The following is a 22,507-nucleotide window of genomic DNA, read 5'->3' on the forward strand; positions in this document are numbered from 1 at the left end:
GGTCGCCGGCTGCCGCACCCGAGCCTGTAACTGACCTGGCGTCCCTGCCCTTGCCTGGCGGCGGTGGGGCTAGAGGCCGGGGGCCGCGGGTCGTAGCTATAAGCAGCTTCCCGCGCAGCCTCCTGCGGACTTGGACTTGGCCCGGGTCACACACGCCCAGGGCCCCACACGCCCAGGGCCCCACGCCCTCTTCTGAAATTCGCTTTACTCTGGGGGCGGTGCGCGACGAGCACTGCCTAGAGCTTCCCGCCCCCGCGGCGCCCAGGCTCTTTAGCTCGGCCAAAGACCCCTCCTCCACTCATTTTTTCCTTCATTCATTCTCTCATTCACTCTCGAGTATTTTCTGAACCAGACTGTGCGCTGAGGGTACGGTAGGGAACAACACAGAGTCCCCCGCCCTCGCTTCCTCCTGACTGAGATAAAAGACAAAATGTGAATAAAGGGTTATAATATGGATGAGTACTGTGGTGGAAAAAACGGGGTGGGTCAAATGGTACGGAAGGATGCTGTCTTAGAATGTGCAGGGGAGGTGCCAGATGTGCCAAGTGTGAGGGCAGGGCAAACAAGGCAAGACGAATGGTATGTACAAAGGCCTGGAGACAGGACGGGCACCTAAGGAACAGAGAAAAGACCGGTGAGCTGTGGAGTAGTGATGGAGGGGGTCAAATGGAGAAGAGTTTAGACGATCGGGTCCCAGAAGAACCCCTTTTGTAGGCCGGGTGTGGTGGCTCATGCCTGTAATCCCAGCACTTTGGGAGGCCGAGGTGGGCGGATCACCAGAGGTCGGCAGTTCGAGACCAGCGTGACTAACACGGTGAAACCCCGTCTCTATTAAAAATACAAAAAATAGCCGGGTGTGGTGCGCGCACCTGTAATCCCAGCTACTCAGGAGGCTGAGGCAGGAGAATCGCTTGAACCCAGGAGGTGGAGGTTGCAGTGAGCGGAGATGGTGCCATTGCATGCCAGCCTGCGCGACAGAGCGAGACTCCCTCTCAAAAAAGAAAAAAGCCCTTTTGTAGCCAGGTGTTATGTAATATGGGGAAATAGACTGAGAGGTTCCAAGATTTGCTCAGTCACCCAGACTGCTGGGGGCCCAGACAGGACTTCTGCAGTCAGCTGCTTCCTGCTCCAGATGGCCCGTTTCTCTCCACCTTGGCCCACAGCACCTACCAGTGTTGAGCATTTACTGAGCAGCCACTGTGTGCTGCTTTAGAGGTAGTCCCAATCTTCACAACATCGCTAGGATGGGGCAGGCCAACCGAGGAGACAGGAAAGACACTGGCTTTGGAGCATGCACTATCTCTGTGACTGAGCCCACCTTCATTTTCCTCAAAAGTAAAAGGGAAATACATGTTGGTAAAACTCATCACCCAGGAACTGGCCTGTGGGAAGTGCTCAGTAGGCATTGGCCCCCGGCAGGGCTGGGGACACAGGCTCAGGGCTGGTTCTCTGACTTACCACTGTTACTAATGAGTGTCGGGACCCTTTCCCTGCTCAGTGTCCAGGCAGAGCTGCTAGAGGCAGAGCCATTTCTGAAGGAGCCCCCCGCAGCGGGAGGGCTTCTAGCAAGTCTTTCCCCTCCGCCTACCACACATCCACTTCACTGATGTTCCAGTCTTCTGACCTAACTGGTCACTCCTGTTTTGTTAAGCCCAGAAAACAAATTTTTGTGCGTTTGCTTTATCTGAGAACAAAGTAAGGCAACCGTAAGAGGTCACACCAGAACTGATGCAGTCCGATCCTCTACTCCAGCCTACCCAACCTGGGCCACCCTTCCTCTGTGAAAAGCAAACACCCCACCCAGGAGACAGACTTGCAGCTTGAAACAAGTCAGATAAAAACCTCCTGCCTGGCTCACACCTGGAATCCCAGCACTTTGGGAGGCCGAGGCAGGCGGATCATGAGGTCAGGAGTTCAAGACCAGCCTGACCAACACAGTGAAACCCCGTCTCCACTAAAAATACAAAAATTAGCTAGGCATGGTGGTGCACACTTGTAATCCCAGCTACTCAGGAGGCTGAGTCAGGAGAATTGCTTGAACCCAGGAGGTGGAGGCTGCAGTGAGCCGAGATCGCGCCACTGCACTCCAGCCTGGGCCAGGCTGGGCATGGTGGCTCACGCCTGGAATCCCAGCACTTTGGGAGGCCAAGGCGGGCAGATCACGAGGTCAGGAGTTCGAGACCAGCCTGGCCAGCATGGTGAAACCCCGTCTCTACTAAAAATACAAAAATTAGCCAGGCATGGTGGTGCACACCTGTGATCCTAGCTACTAAGGAGGCTGAGGCAGGAGAATCACTTGAACCTGGGAGGTGGAGGTTGCAGTGAGCCGAGATTGCACCACTGCACTCCAGCCTGGGCGACAGAGATTCCATCTAAAAAAATAAAAATAAAAAACCCTGCCAAAGATACTTTGGGGCACAAGTACTTGCCTGAGCCTTTCAAAAGTTCCCAAGTCTGAGAGCTTGTAGAGAAATTATCCAGGCCAACCTCCCTCACTGAAACATTCCTTCTGTGGCATCTTGGGCAAATGGAAAAGTTGGTTCTGCTTACGTGCCGCCAGTGATGAGAGGTTCCCCACCTCTTGAGGTCGCCCGCTCCACTGATGGACAGGGGTCCATTAACCCAAAGTCATGATACCCATTAACCCAAAGTCACCCTTCCTGAAGCTTTAACAAACAAAAGTTCCTTTCTACCTTCAGGGTTATCTCTCTTTGCCCCTTGATTGAGCTCTTCAGATATAGGAAACCATTTATCATGGAACAGCTCCCAGGGCAAACCTCCTGATGGCCTCTCTTTTCTCTAACCCCACCTCCCTGGCTCCTGAATTATGAATCAGGCTGCAGAAACTCCCAGCAATCATTAAAATGGGGTTTTAGTGCTAAAATTAACATGTGTTTATTGGGTGCCTTTGGGTAAAACCTAAACCTTTCCCTACTCTGAATCTATTTTCTGTTCATAAAACATAATAATATTTATATCATAGAATATCTCTTGAGTATAATATCTCGAGTGAGGCTGTTGTGAGGATTAGAGGTAATAACTCGTACAAAAGTGCCTGGCATACAGTGGGTTCTAAGAAAATGTCCAGGCCAGGCGCAGTGGTTCATGCCTGTAATCTCAGCACTCTGGGAGGCCAAGGCAGGCAGATTGCATGAGCCCAGGAATTCGAGACAAGCCTGGGCAACATGGCAAAACCCCATCTCTACAAAAAAAAATACCAAAAAAAAATTAGCCGGGTGTGGTGCACGTGCCTGTACTCCCAGCTACTCGGGAAACTAAAGCGGCAGGATCACTTGAGCCCAGGAGAGAGAGACTTCAGGGAGCTGTGATTGTGCCACTGTACTCCAGCCTAAGTGACGAGAGTGAGACCCTGTCTCCAAAAAAAAAGAAAGAAAAAAATGTTTCTCTCCTTTCTATATAATTGAGATCTGGTGGTTAAGGTCACACTCATGGACATGCTGCTGGGATTTAGGACACCACTGGGGGCCAGGAGAGCTGGCTGACAGCTCAGGGACCTGCCAGAGTTCCTGGGAGGAGATGGGTGGGCAGGGGCCAGGATGGGTGGCCAGAGCTGCTCCCCAGACAGCAGGTACTGCAGGTTATCAGAAACCATATTGTCACTGGGAGTGCTTTAAAACCAGGAAGGTGGTGAGGGGCTGTGGCCGCAATGCCCAGCACCCACTTCATAGACTCAGGCCTGATTGCCCTCATTCTACCCCTGGTGGCTCCAGGAACAAGAGGGTAGCCAGGGTGGGAACTGGGGCAGGGGAGAGGTCATCTGGAGATGTGTGCCCTGATCACGAGTTCCCTCCCCACTCCCATCTGCCCTGAGCTTTGGAAGAAGCCCCTTCCCCAAGGACCTACTACTTGCTGGGAAGAGGGCACGGGAGTGAAGTTACCTGAACCCAGTTGTCCACAGCCTAGGCCAGCCTGGGAAACACCAGCAAGGATGTTGGTGCTGGCAGGGCCTCACTGCCCCTCAGTGTCCACAGTGTCCACAGAGCACAAACCCCTGCCTTCCAGCTGGCCTCCAGAGGTCCTAAACACCCCAGGTATACACCCACCACAGGGCATTTTCATGTGCTATGTCCTCCGCCTGGGTTGCTCTTCCCCGCATTTCCTCCCAGTACCCTCCTCACCTCCTCTGGGTTCTGCTCAAGTTCCACCTCTCCACCCTGTTGAACATGCTGACTTCCCCATGCTCGCCATGGGCCTCTCCCAACTTTATTTCTCTCCATTGGCCATATCATTTAACAAATGTATTTAGTGCACTTATTTATTTTGTATAGTGTCATTCCCTGTCCATCCCCTATCCCCTATAAGGGGAACTTCACCAGGGCAGAGATTTTTTGTTTGTTTGTTTTTTGAGACGGAGTCTTGCTCTGTCGCCCAGGCTAGAGTGCAGTGACGTGATCTCGGCTCACTGCAACCTCTGCCTCCCGGGTTCCAGCAATTGTCCTGCCTCAGCCTCTGGAGTAGCTGGGACTACAGGTGCGCACCACCACACCCAGCTAATTTTTCTATTTTTTAGTAGAGACAGGGTTTCACTATATTGGCCAGGCTGGTCTCAAACTCCTGACATCAGGTGATCCACCTGCCTCAGCCTCCCAAAGTGCTGGGATTACAGGCATAAGCCACCACCCCTGGCTTTTTTTTTTTTTTTTAAGAGACCCCTGGGTTTAAAATCCTGGGCCCAAGCGATCCTCCTGACTCAGTCTCCGGAATAGCTGAGACTACAAGTGCATGCCACCATGCCCGGCTAAGGGCAGGGATGTCTTTTTTTTGAGATGGAATCTCACTCTGTCACCCAGGCTGGAGTGCAGTGGCATGATCTCAGCTCACTGCAACCTCCCCTCCACCCCGGGTTCAAGTGATTCTCCTGCCTCAGCCTCCCAAGTAGCTGGGATTACACGTACACACCACCATGCCCTGCTAATTTTTTTGTACTTTTAGTAGAGATGAGGTTTTGCCATGTTGGCCAGGCTGGTCTCGAACTCCTGACTTCAGGTGATCCGCCCGCCTTGGCCTCCCAAAGTGCTGGGATTACAGGCATGAGCCACCATGCCCAGTCCTGAGGGCAGGGATTTCTATCTGTTTGTACACAGCCCTGTCCTGGGCACCTAGCTCTGGCACAAAGCAGGCATTGAATATACAATGAGTGAATGAATACTGTAGCTCTGCCACTCTGAGTTGGGTGATCTTGGGAAAGCCACTTTTCTGGGCCTCAGTGACCGTGTCTGTGGAATGGGGAGGGTGACCAAGTCTGTTACCTAAATAAGAGACCAAACCCACCTATTAAGATTGAAGTTCGGCCGGTTGTGGTGGCTCACGCCTGTAATCCCAGCACTTTGGGAGGCCAAGACGGGTGGATCACCTAAGGTCAGGAGTTTGAGACCAGCCTGGCCAACATGGTGAAACTCCGTCTCTACTAAAAATACAAAATTAGCCAGATTTGATGGGGGGCACCTGTAATCCCAGCTACTAAGGGAGGCTGAGGTGGGAGAATCACTTGAACCTGGGAGGCGAAGGTTGCGGTGAGCTGAGACCATACCATTGCACTCCAGCCTGAGCAATAAAAGCGAAACTCTGTCTCAAAAAAAAAAAAAGATTAAAGTTCCTGGCTGGGTGTGGTGGCTCACGCCTATAATCCCAACATTTTGGGAGGCCAAGATGGGTGGATTGCTTGAGCTTAGTAGTTCAAGACCAGCCTGGGAAACATGGTGAAGTCCTGTCTCTACGAAAAAAAAAAAAAATTAGCCAGGCATGGTGGCGTGCACCTGTAGTCCCAGCTACTCAAGAGGCTGAGGTGGGAGGATCACTTGAGCCCGGGAAGTTGAGGCAGCAGTGAGCCATGATGGCTCACTACACTCCAGCCTGGGCAGCAGAGTGAGACCCTGTCTCGGAAAACAAAACAAAACAAAACAAACAAAAAAACAAAAAAAAAACCTAAACATGGAAACAATAGCTAATCTGTCTGAGCTCTTGCTGGCTGCAGGCCCTGAGCTCAGCACTTGAAGCACACATTTTCTTTAAGCCTCACAAGAGCCCTGTGAGGTAGGGAATGTTATTCTGACTTTCCAGATGAGGTAATTGACTCATGTGGAAGGTACTGGCCCACAGTCACACAGCTGAGTGTCAGAGTTGAAACCTGTGGTCTGATGAAGGCAAAACATTCTTCCTTACAATGGCCCTGAGGTCCTGGATGGTCCGGGCCCAATCCACCTTCCCAGCTCTTCTTGCCCTCTGTACTCCAGCCACACTGGCCTCTTTGAGGTTCCTTCCAGCCACAGGGCCTTTGCACCTCCTGTTCACTCTGCCAGGCACACTCTTCCCTTCTCTTCTTGGAGATCAAGAATGGTCCCCTCATCGTCTGCCCTGCCCACCTCCACATCCCCTGCCAGCAGCCAGTACACACCTGGCACCCAGATGGCACTGGGTGAATATTTGCTGAATGAAGGAGGTCAGAATTGAATTTAAGTCCCATGAAAATATACTTCAAAAATGAAGGTGGCCGGGCGCAGTGGCTCACCTGTAATCCCAGCACTTTGGGAGGCTGAGGTGGGCGAATCACGAGGTCAGGAGATGGAGACCATCCTGGCCAACATGATGAAACCCATCTCTACTAAAAATACAAAAAAATTAGCTGGGTGTGGTGGCATGCACCTGTAGTCCCAGCTACTTGGGAGGCTGAGGCAGGAGAATCACTTGAGCCTGGGAGGCAGAGGTTGCAGCTGAGATTGCGCCACTGCACTCCAGACTGGTGACAGATCAAGACTCCGCCTCAAAAAAAAAAAAAAAAAAAAAAGGAGGCAAAAAGGCTGGGCACGGTGGCTTATGCCTGTAATCGTAGCACTTTGGGAGGCTGAGGCGGGCGGATCACCTGAGGTCAGGAGTTCGAGACTAGCCTGGCCAACATGGAGAAACCCCATCTCTACTAAAAATACAAAAATTAGTGGGGTATGATGGTGCATGCCTGTAATCCCAGCTACTTGGGAGGCTGAGGCAGGAGAATCACTTGAACCCAGGAGGCAGAGATTGCAGTAGGCCGAGATCGTGCCACTACACTACAGCCTGGGTAGCAGAGCAAGACTCTGTCTCAAAAAAAAAAAAAAAAAAAAAAAAAGCAGAGGCAACGTAAAGCTATTTTCAGACAAACAAAGGCTGAGAGAATTGATCACCAGCAGGCCCAACCTGAAAAGAAATACCATGGGCGGGTTCTGCAGGCAGCAGGAAAATGATCCCAGTTGGAAGCCCACGAACACAGGAAGGAATGAAAAAGACACATACGTGTAGGTAAATCTAGATAAGTATTAGGTGCTTGTAAAAATAAAATAATCTTGTGGAGTTTAAAATATTTACCTTGGTAATTGAGAGAAAAGGCAGAAAAAAATCGGTAAGACTATAGATTTGAACATGATTGGCATTCATAGAACTCTCCTCCTAGCAACTGTAGAATGTACCTTCTTCCCCAGTTCACACTGAACATTGGCCAAAACAGACCCTATGCTGGGGCATAAAGCCAATCTCAACAGATTTCAAATGATTGAAATCATAGTTTATGCTCTTTTTTTTTTTTGAGACGGAGTTTCGCTCTTTTTGCCCAGGCTGGAGTGCATTCTCGGCTCACAGCAACCTCCGCCTCCTGGGTTCAAGCCATTCTCCTGCCTCAGCCTCCGGAGTTGCTGGGACTACAGGCATGTGCCACCACGCCTGGCTAATTTTGTATTTTTAGTAGAGTCTCTCGAGTAGCTGGTGGGGGCCACCACACCGGGCTAATTTTTGTATTTTTAGGTGAGCTGGGGTTTCACCATGTTGGCCATGTTGGTCTCGATCTTCTGACCTCAGGTGATCGGCCAACCTCAGCTTCCCAAAGTGCAGGGATTACGGGCATGAGCCACCGCGCCCGTCCTGCCTTCAAGTCTTGAATGCTGCTCTTTCCCCCCTTCCTGTGCACACCCCTGTGGAGCAGTTTTCCACTCTGTGGTAATGGCCTGCTTATGCCCTAGCCGCTTCTGAGCCGCCACGGCAGGGACTGCTTGTTATTGTTTATTCGCACAGCACTCTGTCTGTCCGAGTAGCACTAAGTTGGCACTCAATGCTTCATGCCTCCTCCTGACCCCAGCCCTCTATCTGTGAGATTAAATGGGAAATGCTATCTTCTCATACAGTCTGGTCACCTGCCCCTCCCCTGGCCACTGTTGCTTGAGTAGAGTTGGTCACCTGACCCACCCTGAGCCAGTGATAGCACCCCAAGCCCTGGCCCCCATTGCTGGTCCATGGATGACACCTGACCCAGGCTGGACCTTGTTTCTGGGGTTGAAAAAAATGTATTGTCTGGCCCGTCGTGGTGGCTCACACTTATAATCCCAACACTGTGGGAGGCTGAGGAGTATGGATTGCTTGAGTCCAGGAGTTCAAGACCAGCCTGGACAACATGGTAAAACTCCATCTCCACAAAAAATACAAAAAAATTTAGCCAGGCATTGTGGCAAGTGCCTGTAGTCCCAGCTACTTGGGAGGCTGAGGTGGGAGGATCAGTTGAACTCGGGAGGTCGAGGCTGCGGTGATCCATGATTGTGCCACTGCACCCCAGCCTGGGCAACAGACACCCTGTCTCAAAAAAAAGAAAAAGTATTGTCTAGTTTGCAAATATTGGAAGATTTTTTTTAAAGTTATCATCTTGTTTTCCAGTTTAATCCCACTATGTTTAAGAGCATAGGCCGGGCGCGGTGGCTCACGCCTGTAATCCCAGCACTTTGGGAGGCCGAGGCGGGCAGATCACCTGAGGTCCAGAGTTCAAGACCAACATGGCCAACATGGTGAAACCCCAGCTCAACTAAAAATACAAAAATTAGCCCGGTGTGGTGGCCCCCACCAGCTACTCGAGAGACTAAGGCAGGAGAATCACTTGAACCCGGGAGGCGGAGGTTGCAGTCAGCCGAGATCATACCACTGCACTCCAGGCTGGGTGACAGAGTGAGACTCCATCTCAAAAAACAAAACAAAACAACAAAAAAGACCTGAGGCCGGGTGCAGTGGCTCACGCCTGTCATCCCAGCACTTTGAGAGGCCAAGGCGGGCAGATCACTGAAGTCGGGAGTTCGAGACCAGCCTAACCAACATGGAGAAACCCTGTCTCTACTAAAAATACAAAATTAGCCAGGCGTGATGGCGCACGCCTGGGAGGCTGAGGCAGGAGAATTGCTACAACCCAGGAGGCAGAGGTTGCGGTGAGCAGAGATCGCGCCATTGCACTCCAGCCTGGGCAACAACAGTGAAACTCCATCTCAAAAAAAAAAAAGACTTGAAGGCAGCCCTGATTAGAGCTAAGGATGGGGTAGGGCCTCACCAAAAACTCTTTCCTTCCAGTGGCACATGGATCTGCTTAATGTTGAAGTCTTGTTTAGGATTAATCCCTCAGGGTTGACCCTGGAAGCACAGAAGGACAGCCAAGCTGCTTTCTAAAGCTCAGTGCCTGCAGAATAGTACAGTTCCCATTTCCCTGCATACTCACCAGCACAGAGTATTAGTCCAAAAATGTTTATGTTACTTCAAAGTTGAAAAATTAGTTGAAAAATGTTATTTGCCTCTTTCCCACATCATTAGTGACGTTTTCGCATGTGCTTTTCATTTAAATTAGAATAGTGCTTTATTTGCACTACTTACCAACACAACTTCTCTTTGTGCCTTTTTTTCAAAAACACCCATGGATCTTAAGGGCCGGGCTCGGTGGCTCACGCCTGTAATCCCAGCACTCTAGGAGGCCCAGGCATGCGGATCACAAGGTCAGAAGATCGAGACCATCCTGGCTAACACGGTGAAACCCCGTCTCTACTAAAAAATACAAAAACTTAGCCGGGTGTGATGGCAGGCACATGTAGTCCCAGCTACTTGGGAGGCTGAGGCAGGAGAATGGTGTGAACCCAGGAGGCAGAGCTTGCAGTGAGCTGAGATCACGCCACTGCACTCCTGCCTGGGCGACAGAGCGATACTCCATCTCAAAAAACAAACAAACAAACAAACAAAACAAAACAAAAACACCCATGGATCTTAGTCTTTGCAGTCTCTTGAATTTATTAATTTAAATGAATTGGACTGTTGTAATGTTTAAGCGATACTTAAAAGTTTTTACCTTGCCGCGCACCGTGGCTCACGCGTGTAATCCCAACACTTTGGGAGGCTGAGGCGGGTGGATCACCTGAGGTCGGGAGTTTGAGACCAGCCTGGCCAACATGGTGAAACCCTGTCTGTACTAAAAATACAAAAATTAGGGCTGGGCATGGTGGCTCACGCCTGTAATCCCAGCACTTTGGGAGGCCAAGGCAGGCGGATCATGAGGTCAAGAGATTGACACCATCCTGGCCAACACAGTGAAACCCCGTCTCTACTAAAAATACAAAAATTAGCTGGGTGTGGTGGTGCATGCCTGTAATTCCAGCTACTCGGGAGGCTGAAGCAGGAGAATCGCTTGAACCAGGGAGTTGGAGGTTGCAGTGAACTGAGATCCTGCCACGGCACTCCAGCCTGGCAACAGAGTGAGACTTTGTCTCAAAAATAATATAAATAAATAAATAAATATATAAATAAATAAATAAAATTAAAAAAAATAAAAATACAAAAATTAGCCAGGTATGGTAGTGGGTGCCTGTAATCCCAGCTACTTGGGATGCTGAGGCAGGAGAATTGCTTGAACCCGGGAGGCAGAGATTGCAGTGAGCTGAGATCGCACTACCGCCCTCCAGCTTGGGGCACAGAGCAAGACTCCATCTCAGGGGGGAAAAATGTTTTTACCTTGAAAATTTTCCAACCCAACAAAAAATTGCAAGAATTATACATTAAACATCCTATATGTGTCACCTAGATTTGTTTTCAGCATTTTCTGGCCTTTGCTTTATCAGTTTCTATACAGTGATTTTTTTTTTTAATGAACTATTTGAGGGTAAGTTGCAGACTCTTTGCCCCTAAATCTCCAAAGAACAAAGACATTCTCCTATGAAACCACAGTACTGTGATCAAAAAATCAGGAAGTATACCATTGATACAATGGTGTTAGCTAATGTACAGTCCATATTCAAATTTCTCTGATTGATCTGACAATATCCTTTACCGTGCATTTTCTCCTCAGATCCAGGATCATGTGCTGTCTTTAGCAGGCTGTGATCTGGAACACTCCTTAGTCTGTCTTTGTCCTTCAGGAGAGACATTGACATTTTTGGAGAGCACGAGCAGGGTATTTTGTAGACGGCCCCTCAGGTGGGTTTGTCTAAGGCCACCTCCTGACTCACTGCAGGCTCTGCAAGAATGTCACCTGCGTGCTGCTCTGTCCCCGGTGCCTGTGGTGCCATGTCACGGGGAGCTGTGATTGCTGGTGAACAGCAGGCGTCTCCTCTGCAAAGGCATGTGAGGTTTTGCTATTTTCTTTGCTCTGAATGACCACTGCTGATGTGATGTTCTTATTGATTTGTCAGACTCGTGAGGCGTTTAAAGCCCCTCTCAGGAGGGCCGCTCAGATGCAGCTGGGTCTCAGCAAGTGTCCGAGACTGACGGAGGGGCAAGCTGTCATCCCAGCCCTGGCTGCTTGGTCGATGCGTCCTTGTTAATGCTGACATCCTTGCCTCCCTCCTGACGCCAGGCAGGAGAGAGGCTCTGTGTGCTCTGAGATCGAAGGCTAAAATCACCTATGAATGAGTCAACAGCCCAGCTGCAGCAGACTCCCTGAATTCATGTCAGACCCAAGGGGATAACCCAAAAGGAGCCTCTGGGGGAGGGCTGGGGAGCTCAGAGCCGCTGCAGATATGCTCCCAGCTACACCTCTCCAGTCCCTGCCTCTTCATCTGTAACAGGAAGTGCCTGGCTTAGATGGTGTTCAAGTGTCTTGATGAGGGCAGGTGGCATCTGAATGGGACAGTTCTTTGTGTGCAAGTGGTCTCGCAAAGTGCAGGATGTTAAGCATCCTTGGCCCTCACCCCCAACCCAAAACACCCCACAACCATTTCCACAAGGCTCCAAGGAGGGTGTTGTGGCCCCCAGCTGAGAACAGCTAGGTGATAATTACTAATCTCTGCTACTGTGTATGGAAGACATCTTGTGTGCTGGCCTTGTGCCAAGTATTACCCCATTTCTACTTTGTAACAATCCATATTACAGATGAGAAAAGTGAGGCCCAGAAAGGCTAAGCAGCAGCCAGGTAGGGTTGGAGCCAGGACGCTGGTCCCAGTCAGCCCAACTCTGTGGCCCATCCCATTCACCTGTGCACTCATGGAGGTGATGCCACATGTAAGTTGTGACCCCAGGTTCCTGAGTTAAGCCTGAGTGAGAGGTTAATATGGCCCCCCACTCCCCTGTCACCACGGGTGAAGCATGCTGCCCTATGCCATTGACATTAGGTTGGACCATGTGGCTTGCCTCGGCTCACAGAATGAGAATGGACAGGACATGTATGTGCTTGTGCAATTTGCTTTGGTTTCTTTTGCTCCAGTGACATACCATGAGAAGCATATACCCTGGGTGACTGCTGCCTCTTTAGCCTGGGGCCCAAAACAAGCACATATGGGGGACACCCAAGCCCTGCCTGGGCTCACTGGACTGTGGACTGAAGCAGCTGCCCAACCCAGCCCAGCTGGGTTAGATCAGTCTATCCACACTCAACCTGCAGACTCATGTGCATGAGCTTACATATTTATTGCCATAAGCCACTGCATTTGTGACGGTTTGTTATGCAGCATTACTGCAGCAATAGCTGACTGATAGAACCGTCCTGGCTCCCAGGACCAGCTTGACCACTTACTAAACGCCAGAGCATGGGCAGGTGGTTTTGCCTCAGTAGATCTTTGTTTCCCCATCTGTATAATGGTACAGTAATAGTACTGACCTGCCTGTTATGAGGATTGAAGGTGATCACGCTTTTAGTATAGTACCTGGTATATAGAAAGTATTTAGTAAATGTTAGTTATTCATTGCTACCATCAGCACCACTATTACTATTATTGTTAACTGTGCCCCTTGGGATCCAGCAGGGAGCCGTCACCTCTACTCTCAAGGATTCTGACAGTCTGGAGTTAATGAATGGGAGAGGACTCAGCCCTTCACAGAGGTGGCCCCAGAGCACCTTGCCCTAGTCCCAGAGGTGCTCCCTGCCCCTGACTCACTCTCGCCAGGGCCCACTCACCCTCGACCTCAACAAGCATCTAGAATGGACTGCTTGGCACCAGATGGCCAAGTGCCTCACAGGGAGTCCCGGATGGGTCAAAGTGACCCAAAGTCCACAGGAAACCCAAAGCCAGCCTTGCCTCTCCTGACAGGTTCACCCTCCTTCAGCCCAGGATTTATTACGTAACCAACACTTTTAGCAACAAGCCGGAGCCCGGCAACAGGGCCCACCCCCTAGTGTGAGAGTGTGAGAGTGTGAGCGTGTTTGCGACTGTGTGTCTTTCAGTGTCTGTGTGTATATCTCTCTGTCTGCTTTATTGTGTATGTTGCCGTATGGATCTGTGTCTATTGCAGCATGTATGTCTGTTTCAGCATGAGTGTGTTTCAGCATCTGTGTGAGTATGCGTGTCTGTTTTTCAGTGTGTATGTAAATGGGTGTGGCTGTGTTTCAGTGTGAGGACAGTTGTGTTTCGCCATGTTGGACATGAACTCCTGACCTCAGGTTTCGCCATGTTGGTCATGAACTCCTGACCTCAGGTGATCCACCCACCTCGGCTTCCCAAAGTGCTGGGATTATAGGCGTGAGCCACTGCACCTGGTCCTTCATTCCTTTTTAAGGTCCACTAACATTCCACTGTAGGTACACACCACGTTTTGTTTATCCGTTCTTCAGTTGATGGACATGTGGGTTGTTTCCACTTTCGTGCTATTGTGAATAATGCTGCTGTGAACATTTCATGTACAAGCTTTTCATAGACATGTGTTTTCATTTCTCTTGGGCATTCTCTAGGAGTGACATTGCTGAGTCACATGGTTACTCTGTGCTTAACCTTCTGAGGAACTTTCAGACTGTTTCCAAAGTGGCTACACCACTTAACATTCCCACCAGCAATGCACGAGGGTTCCAACTGCCCCACATCCTGCCCTTGTTTTTGTTTGTTTGGTTTTGGCTTTGGCTCTTTGATTATAGCCATCCTCAAAGATGTGAAGTCTTATTGTGGTTTGATTTGCATGTCCCTTATGGCTAATGATGTTGAGAGTTTTTCCCGTGCTATTGGCCATCTGTATATCTTCTTTGGAGAAACGTCTGCTCAGATCCTTTGCCATTTTTAATTGGGTCATTTGCCTGTTTATTCCAAGATGAAGTGGGACTACACATCAGGAGGGGTTTAAAATGGAATGCTGGAAACCACAGCTTCTCAAGGTTGTCTCCTGTCTCTGGGGGAGACCCAGTCTTCGCGTCCCAGAGGCACCCCCACTGCGAGTCCCTCCAGCCCTTCATCCCATAGTCCTACTCCACTCCATCTCTAGGGAAAACGTCATTCCATCTCCCTAGGAAGTCGCTTCCAGGCAACCCCAAGGCCTTTCCTTTATGGAATCAAGGGCTCTTTAAAGTGTTTTTCTAGGAAAGATCTGCTCTTGCTCCAAACATCTGTGCTGCTGCTGTTGCCTTGTATGTATGCGGGAATAGCTAAAGCCAGTTCCTTGGAAATGGAACTACATGCTTTTTCTTCCAGTCACTACACATAAATGACTTCTACTTTTCCACTTCCTAGTCAGACTTCTCCTTCAGACTCTGAACTCTATCCACCCGCTGGACTCCTCTGAGGAGCTCTTACAGGCACCTCACCCCATCTCCTCCTACTCCTTCCCCTCCACTCCCTATTTCTTGACCCCAGCCCTCCCCCATCCTAGGTCCCAGTCACCCTAACCAGACATCCAGGCGCCACTCAGACCCCTCCCTCTTGCTCCCTGTCACGACTAATCAGTCATCGACTCCCGTAATTGTTCCTCTGAAATAGCACTGCTCAGGCTTCATCAGCTGGCACCTGGACAATCCAGACAGCTGGCTTTCTCAAGCTTCCATCCTTTCCAAAGCACCCTCCACCCAGGAGCAGGTGACTCCCTTGCTCAAAACCTTGCAATGACTCCCTACTGCCCAAACCAAAATCCCATCTTCCCAGGCTGGTGTATGAGACCCTTCCATGAATCAGTTCTTTCATTTATTGATTTGCTCATTCATTCAATTTTCTGAGCATCTACTATGTGTGAGAGACTGGCAAGCGTCTACTGAGCATCTACCATGTGTGAGACAAGCCAAGCAGGTGACCAGTGGGACAGTAGGGGCCTGTGGGGGACAATGGAAACAGAGAGGAGGGGACCAAATCCAGGAGAAGGTGGTCACCCTGTACCCACCCCAACTCCAGCCATTTAAATTATCTCCAGTTCCCAGAATGCACCATGCTCTTTCATGTCTGGGGAACTTTGCAAACCCACTGAAAACTCTTCTCCTGTCACCCTTTTTGCAAACTCCTTCAAGCCTTCACAACCTGGTTGAACTGTCTTGTCCTGTGCAAAGCCTCCCCCCAATGCAGAGTTGATTCTGTCAGTCCTGCCTTTGAGCCCCCACAGCCTAGCAGAGACCTCATTACAATGTTGATCTCATCCAGTTACTGTTTTTTTGGTTTTGTTTGTTTGAGACAGAGTCTTGCTCTGTCACTCAGGCTGGAGTGCAATGGCGTGATCTTGGCTCATTCCAACCTCTGTCTCCTGGGTTCAAGCAATTCTCCTGCCTCAGCCTCCCAAATAGCTGGGATTACAGGCATGCACCACCACACCTGGCTAATTTTTGTATTTTTAGTAGAGATGGGGTTTCACCATGGTGGCCAGGCTGGTCTCAAACTCCTGACCTCAAGTAATCCATCTGCTTCGGCCTCCCAAAGTGCTAGGATTACAGGTGTGAGCCACCACACCTGGCTCATTCAGTTATTGTTTTAACTATGATGATCTTTATGGAAAATGAAATGCCGTGTTGGTTTTACTTTCTGATGGTACAGACACATCAGGGAACCACAAGTGCCTCTCCCCCAACTCCCTGCACCTCCCACCTCCACCAAGGAGAAAGCAATTTTTCCCATCTAAACTTCTGGCATGTGCTAACTCTGGTTCTCAAGCAGGGCTGATTTTTTTTTTTCTTTTGAGATGGAGTCTCACTCTGTCTCCCAGGCTGGAGTGCAGTGGCGTGATTTCGGCTCACTGCAACCTCCGCCTCCTGGGTTTAAGCGATTCTCCTGCTTTAGCCTCCCAAGTAGCTGGGGTTACAGGTGCACGCCACCACGCCCGGCTAATTTTTTGTATCTGTGGTAGAGATGGGGTTTCACCATGTTGACCAGGCTGGTGTCAAACTCCTGACCCCCTGATCTGCCTGCCTCGGCCTCCCAAAGTGCTGGGATTACAGGTGTGAGCCACTGCGTGGGGCTGATTTTGGCACACACACACACACACACACACACACACACACCCTAGGGACATTCTTCAAAGTCTGGACACACTTTTGATTGTCACAGCTGGGTGGGGATGGGGGTGCTATGGACATCTAGTGGGTAGAGGCCAAGGAAGCTGCTAAAAGTCTACAATGTGCAGGGGCCGGTCGCGGTGGCTCACGCCTGTAATCCCAGCACTTTGGGTGGCCAAGGCGGGTGGATCACGAGGTCAGGAGATCGAGACCATCCTGGCTAACACAGTGAAACTCCGTCTCTACTGAAAATACAAAAAATTAGCTGGGTGAGGTGGTGGGCGCCTGTAGTCACAGCTACTCGGGAGGCTGAGGCAGGAGAATGACATGAACCTGGGGGGTGGAGCCTGCAGTGAGCTGAGATCACACCACTGTACTCCAGCCTGGGTGACAGAGCAAGACTCCATCTCAAAAAAAAAAAAAAAAAAAAAAAAAAATTCTACAATGTGCAGGACAGCCCTCACAACCAACAATTATCCAACCCAAAATAGAACAGTGCCAAGGCTGAGAAACTGTCCAAATTATAGGTGGAAATATAGTTGTGTGTGTGTGTTTCGGCATTAGAGGGCATTCCCGGGCCTAGGTGGGCTCTGGAGATGGCCCATGCTCAGGTTTTTATGCCGGGAAGGTGCAGGTGCATGGAGGACATTGGCCAGCTGGGCTGTGAGGAGGAGCTGTAGGCAGGTGCTTGCAGAGATGAAGAAGGGAGCCCTCGGTCTGGCTGAATCCCTGGATGGATCATGGGGCCTGTGGGCTCCTCAAGGGGAGGAGACCTGCCCTCCCTTGAATCCAAGCTGGGAGATGGTGGTGCCTCCCAGGAGGGTAAGTGGGCACCTCGCTGCCTTCCACCTCTGAAGGGCCAAGTGGTGCCCAGGATATCCATGTTTTGGCTTCTTCCTGGGCACATGTGGAGACTCCATTTCCCAGGGCCCCTTGCAGGTAGGTGTGGCCACATGACAGGTTCCAGCCAATGGAGTGTGATAGGAAGTAATGTCACCACTCCAGGCCTGGCCATGGAATTCTCGCACCACCCAGGCTCTCTCCTTCCCAGTAGTATCCTAGCTGAGCCAGAGGACGCTGAAGGCCTACAGGGCAGCAGAGCCACAGACGGAAGGAGCCTGGGTGCTTGAGTGACTATGCAGCCTCCCCGGCCTGCCATCCCGTCTGGTTGGACTGTGACATGAAACAGATGTGAAATAGATCTTCATCGTGTAGAGCCGTGGGCCTTCGAGCTTTACTTGTTACAGCAACTAATTTTATTTAACTAATACTGGTGGGTCAGCAGGAACGTCCAAGGTGAAAGACAAAATTCCCCTTCAGTTTTTCAGGGCTGTTTAACTCCTAAGATCCAGGGCTGATCCTTAATTATTCCACCCTCCTCGCCCACCCCATTCTCCATTAGACTCTTGTAGTTTTTGCCAACCTTGGCAAGTGGGGCCTTGAGTAGGCCTTAATTTGATCCTTAAAAGTAAAGGGATTTCTTCCACCCTGAGAGTTGTGTGATAGTTTGTACCAGTTACAAAATTTGTGTTCTTTTTCTTGATGGACTGTGAGCCCCTTGAGGGGAAGGCCTGGGCCTGATTTGCGGATGTCACAAAGGCCCAGTAGTGGGCTGGGTAGGCAGCAATCTTGAGGAACTATTTGTGGAAATCTCTGAGCATGTGATGCCCCTGATTGGCCAGATCATTCTGCCTTTATGGTGTTTGGTATGGTTGTTTTTTTTTTTTGAGACCCGGGTCTCACTCTGTTGCCCAGGCTGGAATACAGTGGTGCAGTCACAGCTCTCTATAGCCTCCACCTCCTAGGCTCAAGCACTTCTCCCAACTCATCTTGGAATACAGTGGTGCAGTCACAGCTCTCTATAGCCTCCACCTCCTAGGCTCAAGCACTTCTCCCAACTCATCTGGGACTACAGGCATGCACCACCATGCACAGCTAATATTCTTATTTTTTTTTATAGAGATGGGAGTCTCGCTATGATGCCCAGGCTGGTCTCGAACTCCCGAGCTCAAGTGATCTGACCTCCCAAAGTGCTGGAATTACAGGCATGAGCCACCGCGCCCTGTCTTCCTTTGTTTGTGTTGATTACGAATACATTCACTTGCAAAAAATAACAAAAAAAACCCCCAGAAAATCCGATCAACAGAGACGTAAACAAATAGGTGTTTCGTTGTGTGTGTGTTTTTTTGTTTTTTTTTGTTTTTCATGGAACACAAGCTCGAAGCAGGCAGTTGCAAGCATGAGGGAACTTGACTTTGCCATCCCTATACTGACCTTTTTATTCTGATGCTTCGGCCTCATAGGCACAAGATGGCTGCCATAGCTCTAATCATCACACTGGGGCTCGAGGCAAGCAAAGGTGAGAGAAATGTCTAGGGCCATGCTAACTGTATCTGTCTCTTCATCAGGGCAGCAAAAGCTTTTCCAGAAATCCCCCCAGCAGACTTCCACTTTAAGAGTGATTGGCCTGAATTGGGTCAAATGTCTAGTACAAGAGGCTAGGAAGTTAAAACAGTCATGATTGGCTTAGAACACTGATTCACAAATGAATCTGTAGGGGTGGGTTGCCCCTCCACACCTGTGGGTGTTTCTCGTAAGGTGGAACGAGAGACTTAGGAAAGAAAAAGACACAGAGACAAAGTGTAGAGAAAGAAATAAGGGGACCCGGGGAACCAGCGTTCAGCATATGGAGGATCCCGCCAGCCTCTGAGTTCCCTTAGTATTTATTGATCATTCGTGGGTGTTTCTCCGAGAGGGGGATGTGTCAGGGTCACAAAACAATAGTGGGGAGAGGGTCAGCAGACAAACACGTGAACAAAGGTCTTTGCATCATAGACAAGGTAAAGGATTAAGTGCTGTGCTTTTAGATGTGCATACACATAAACATCTCAATGCTTTACAAAGCAGTATTGCTGCCCGCAGGTCCCACCTCCAGCCCTAAGGCGGTTTTTCCCTATCTCAGTAGATGGAGCATACAATCGGGTTTTATACCGAGACATTCCATTGCCCAGGGACGGGCAGGAGACAGATGCCTTCCTCTTGTCTCAACTGCAAGAGGCATGCCTTCCTCTTATACTAATCCTCCTCAGCACAGACCCTTGCTGTCGGGCTGGGGGACGGTCAGGTCTTTCTCTTCCCACGAGGCCATATTTCAGACTGTCACATGGGGAGAAACCTTGGACAATACCTGGCTTTCCTAGGCAGAGGTCCCTGCGGCCTTCCGCAGTTTTTGTGTCCCTGGGTACTTGAGATTAGGGAGTGGTGATGACTCTTAAGGAGCATGCTGCCTTCAAGCATTTGTTTAACAAAGCACATCTTGCACCGCCCTTAATCCATTTAACCCTGAGTTTGACACAGCACATGTTTCAGAGAGCACGGGGTTGGGGGTAAGGTCATAGAATCTCAAGGCAGAAGAATTTTTCTTAGTACATAACAAAATGGAGTCTCCCATGTCTACTTCTTTCTACACAGACACAGTAACAATCTGATCTCTCTTGCTTTTCCCCACATGAATCTTTTTTTTTTTTTTAAGCACAAAGGGAATAGGTATTAGGAAAGCAACCAATAGTGTCTGCCTTGATTTCCAGTCCTGTATCTGGGGCTTCTGCCAAAAGTCCTTTCTCCTAGGGCCAAGAGGGCCCAGGCCCGTCTTCTCGAGGCTACCACACCTGGTTTTCCCCATACCTGAGAGTATGTGAGGATAAAACAGCAGAGCATCCAAGGGTCTGTTGCCCACCCTCCCACCTTGCCTGCTGCCCTGTCCTGGTGCTTCTCAGGAAGCCTTCGGGGTACCCACCACACCTTGTCCCCATGCCCTTTCCCAGTAGACACCATCCCAGCCACTCTGATGAAGCTGGACTCTGTCCCCAGGAGATGGAAAGTGAGCCACTCTCCCAGCAGAGGCACAGGGTCAGTGTGTTCTGCAGAATAAACACAGTATTCCTAGTTACTCTCATCTGAGAAGCTGCCACATCTCCCTAAACCCCTGGCCTTCCCACATGATCTGAAAATAACCACTGATACTCACATATAGAATCCAGAATTCCGAGGAAATGGAATTAAAAATAGCCAGAGGAAGAAGGACGTGCCCCAGGCAGATGACGTTTAGCCAAACATGGAAACAAAGGATGAGCCTGGGGCCTGGGAACAGGATAATAGTAGCCAACATGTGCCAAGTGACTACTGTGTGGCAGGTACTGAATGGAGTGCCTGGCAGGCATTGTATTATGGGTCCCTCAAGTCAGCCAGAAGAGGTAAGTACTGTTACCACTCTCATTCTGCAGAGAGTGAAACAGGCTTAGAGGGGTAATGCCTAGAGTAGCATCCAGAACGTGAGCTCTGGTCAGATAGGGTTTGTTTCTCAGTTTAGTCATTCCCTAGGTGTAATGTGTTTAGGCCTCAGTTTCCTCATCTATAAAATGGGTAAGATAGTAGTAGCTACTTCATAGGCTCACTGGGAAAACTCAATATGAGTCATATATGTAAAGTACTCAAAACCAGATCTGGCACGAAATAAGCCCTGGATGTATGTGTGCAAATATCATACCCATTTTATAGATGAGGGAATGAAAAATTGCAGATAACTATGCATTTGCCCAAGGTCACAAAACCAGTAAAAGGTAGAGCTGGCCGGGCGCGGTGGCTCACTCCTGTAATCCCAGCACTTTCGGAGGCCAAGGCAGGTGGATCACCTGAGGTCATCCCAGCACTTTGGGAGGCCAAGGCAGGTGGATCACCTGAGGTCAGAAGTTTGAGACCAGCCTGGCCAACATGGTGAAACCCCGTCTCTACTAAAAATACAAAAATTAGCCAGGCTTGGTGGCACATGCCTGTAATCCCAGCTACTCAGGAGGCTGAGGCAGGAGAATTGCTTGAACCCAAGAGGCTGAGGTTGCAGTGAGCTGAGATCGCACTCCAGTCTGGGCGACAAGAGTGAAACTCCGTCTCAAAAAAAAAAAAAAAAAAAAAAAGGTAGAGCTGGGACTCAAAGCCAGGTCCCTCTACTACTATAAACCACCCACCAGTCAGCGTGACTCCAAGTGGCACAGGCCACTGGGTTAATGGGCAGGAGAACAGGTTCTATACACACCAGGCAGTCCAGTGGGTCCCCTTGAGGACCACAGGCAAAGCCAATGAGGAGTTTCCCTTGCCCCGAGTGCCCTGTCTCTCACCTTGACCTGTCAACATACCACCCATTCTTGAGCGCTGGGAGAGAAGCCCCCATCTCTGACTTCTGAGTGATAGAGTCCTGGCTGCAGAGCCCTCCTGTGGTCCCGTTCATCAGTCTTGGGAACTCATAACATTGGGGAGAATAAGCACAGCCTTTGAGAACCTGCACACCACCCCCACCCTGTAGAGGTCCAGAAACGTCTCACAGGCAAGCAGCCTAGGTCTGCCTGTAACAAACCAGGAGCAGGCAGAGATGGAGACCGCACTGAATTAAGGCGTCCAGCTACTAACATCACAGACAGAAAAGCCTCCCAGTGGACAAGCACAGTATTGCCTCTGAGCTATTCACATCAAAGCTAATGGAACCTGAATCTGAGTAAGAACTAGACCCAATCAGCAAAGTGCAGAAAATACAGGAGACAGAGGAGCACATGAAACACCACCACAGAGGTGCAATCAGCACAAATCCAGACTGCCAGAGACCCTCCAGGGAGAACAGCTGGCTTCCTCAACAAATAAATGGCAATGCATCAATGAGAAAGGAACCAGGAGCCTATAGACTAAATGAGAAATATAAATATCAATCAATTACAGTGCTGGGCCTTATCTGGATCCCAATTCAACTGTATGTATTGCATATTATATACATGTCTATATATTATGTACACACACACATGCCATTTGGAACAATGTGATTCTCCAGTGAGCTATTTGATGATCTTAAAGAACTATAGTTACTTTATTTATCTATTTACTTGAGACAGGGCCTGGCTCTGTCACCCAGGCTGGAGTGTAATTTGGGCTCACTGCAACCTCTGCCTCCCAGGTGCAAGGGATCCTCCCACTTCAGCCTCCCAAGTGCTGGGACCACAGGTGTATGCCACCGTGCCTGGT

The 22,507-nt window shown here is 49.9% G+C and overlaps 1 protein-coding gene across 1 annotated transcript in view, besides 5 other annotated features; it reads right to left on the minus strand.

Annotated features, from left to right (window-relative positions):
- PEMT (phosphatidylethanolamine N-methyltransferase) overlaps positions 1-211 on the minus strand; it is an 86,580-nt gene extending 86,369 nt beyond the window's left edge. The window contains exon 1 of the mRNA XM_024450532.2: positions 36-211. The gene's annotated coding sequence lies outside the window, so the exon portion shown is untranslated. The remainder of the gene's footprint in view (positions 1-35) is intronic.
- Positions 11,029-11,529: an enhancer, noted in NCBI's record as "H3K4me1 hESC enhancer chr17:17506274-17506774 (GRCh37/hg19 assembly coordinates)". NCBI's record gives its function as "activates a minimal SCP1, AML or CMV promoter by ChIP-STARR-seq in naive H9 embryonic stem cells {active_cell/tissue: H9 hESC(naive)}" and the evidence as "EXISTENCE:reporter gene assay evidence [ECO:0000049][PMID:30033119]".
- Positions 20,991-21,147: a silencer, noted in NCBI's record as "fragment chr17:17516236-17516392 (GRCh37/hg19 assembly coordinates)". NCBI's record gives its function as "represses an EF-1alpha promoter that drives an FKBP-Casp9 reporter gene in an ReSE screen in K562 erythroleukemia cells {active_cell/tissue: K562}" and the evidence as "EXISTENCE:reporter gene assay evidence [ECO:0000049][PMID:32094911]".
- Positions 20,991-21,686: a biological region, named in NCBI's record as "H3K27ac hESC enhancer GRCh37_chr17:17516315-17516931".
- Positions 21,070-21,686: an enhancer, noted in NCBI's record as "H3K27ac hESC enhancer chr17:17516315-17516931 (GRCh37/hg19 assembly coordinates)". NCBI's record gives its function as "activates a minimal SCP1, AML or CMV promoter by ChIP-STARR-seq in primed H9 embryonic stem cells {active_cell/tissue: H9 hESC(primed)}" and the evidence as "EXISTENCE:reporter gene assay evidence [ECO:0000049][PMID:30033119]".
- Positions 21,764-22,058: a silencer, noted in NCBI's record as "tiled region #11476; HepG2 Repressive DNase matched - State 12:CtcfO". NCBI's record gives its function as "represses a minimal TATA promoter and a strong SV40 promoter by Sharpr-MPRA in HepG2 cells {active_cell/tissue: HepG2}" and the evidence as "EXISTENCE:reporter gene assay evidence [ECO:0000049][PMID:27701403]".

This window comes from Homo sapiens, chromosome 17 (genome assembly GCF_000001405.40).
Source record: "Homo sapiens chromosome 17, GRCh38.p14 Primary Assembly".
NCBI classification, from domain to species: Eukaryota; Metazoa; Chordata; class Mammalia; order Primates; family Hominidae; genus Homo; species Homo sapiens.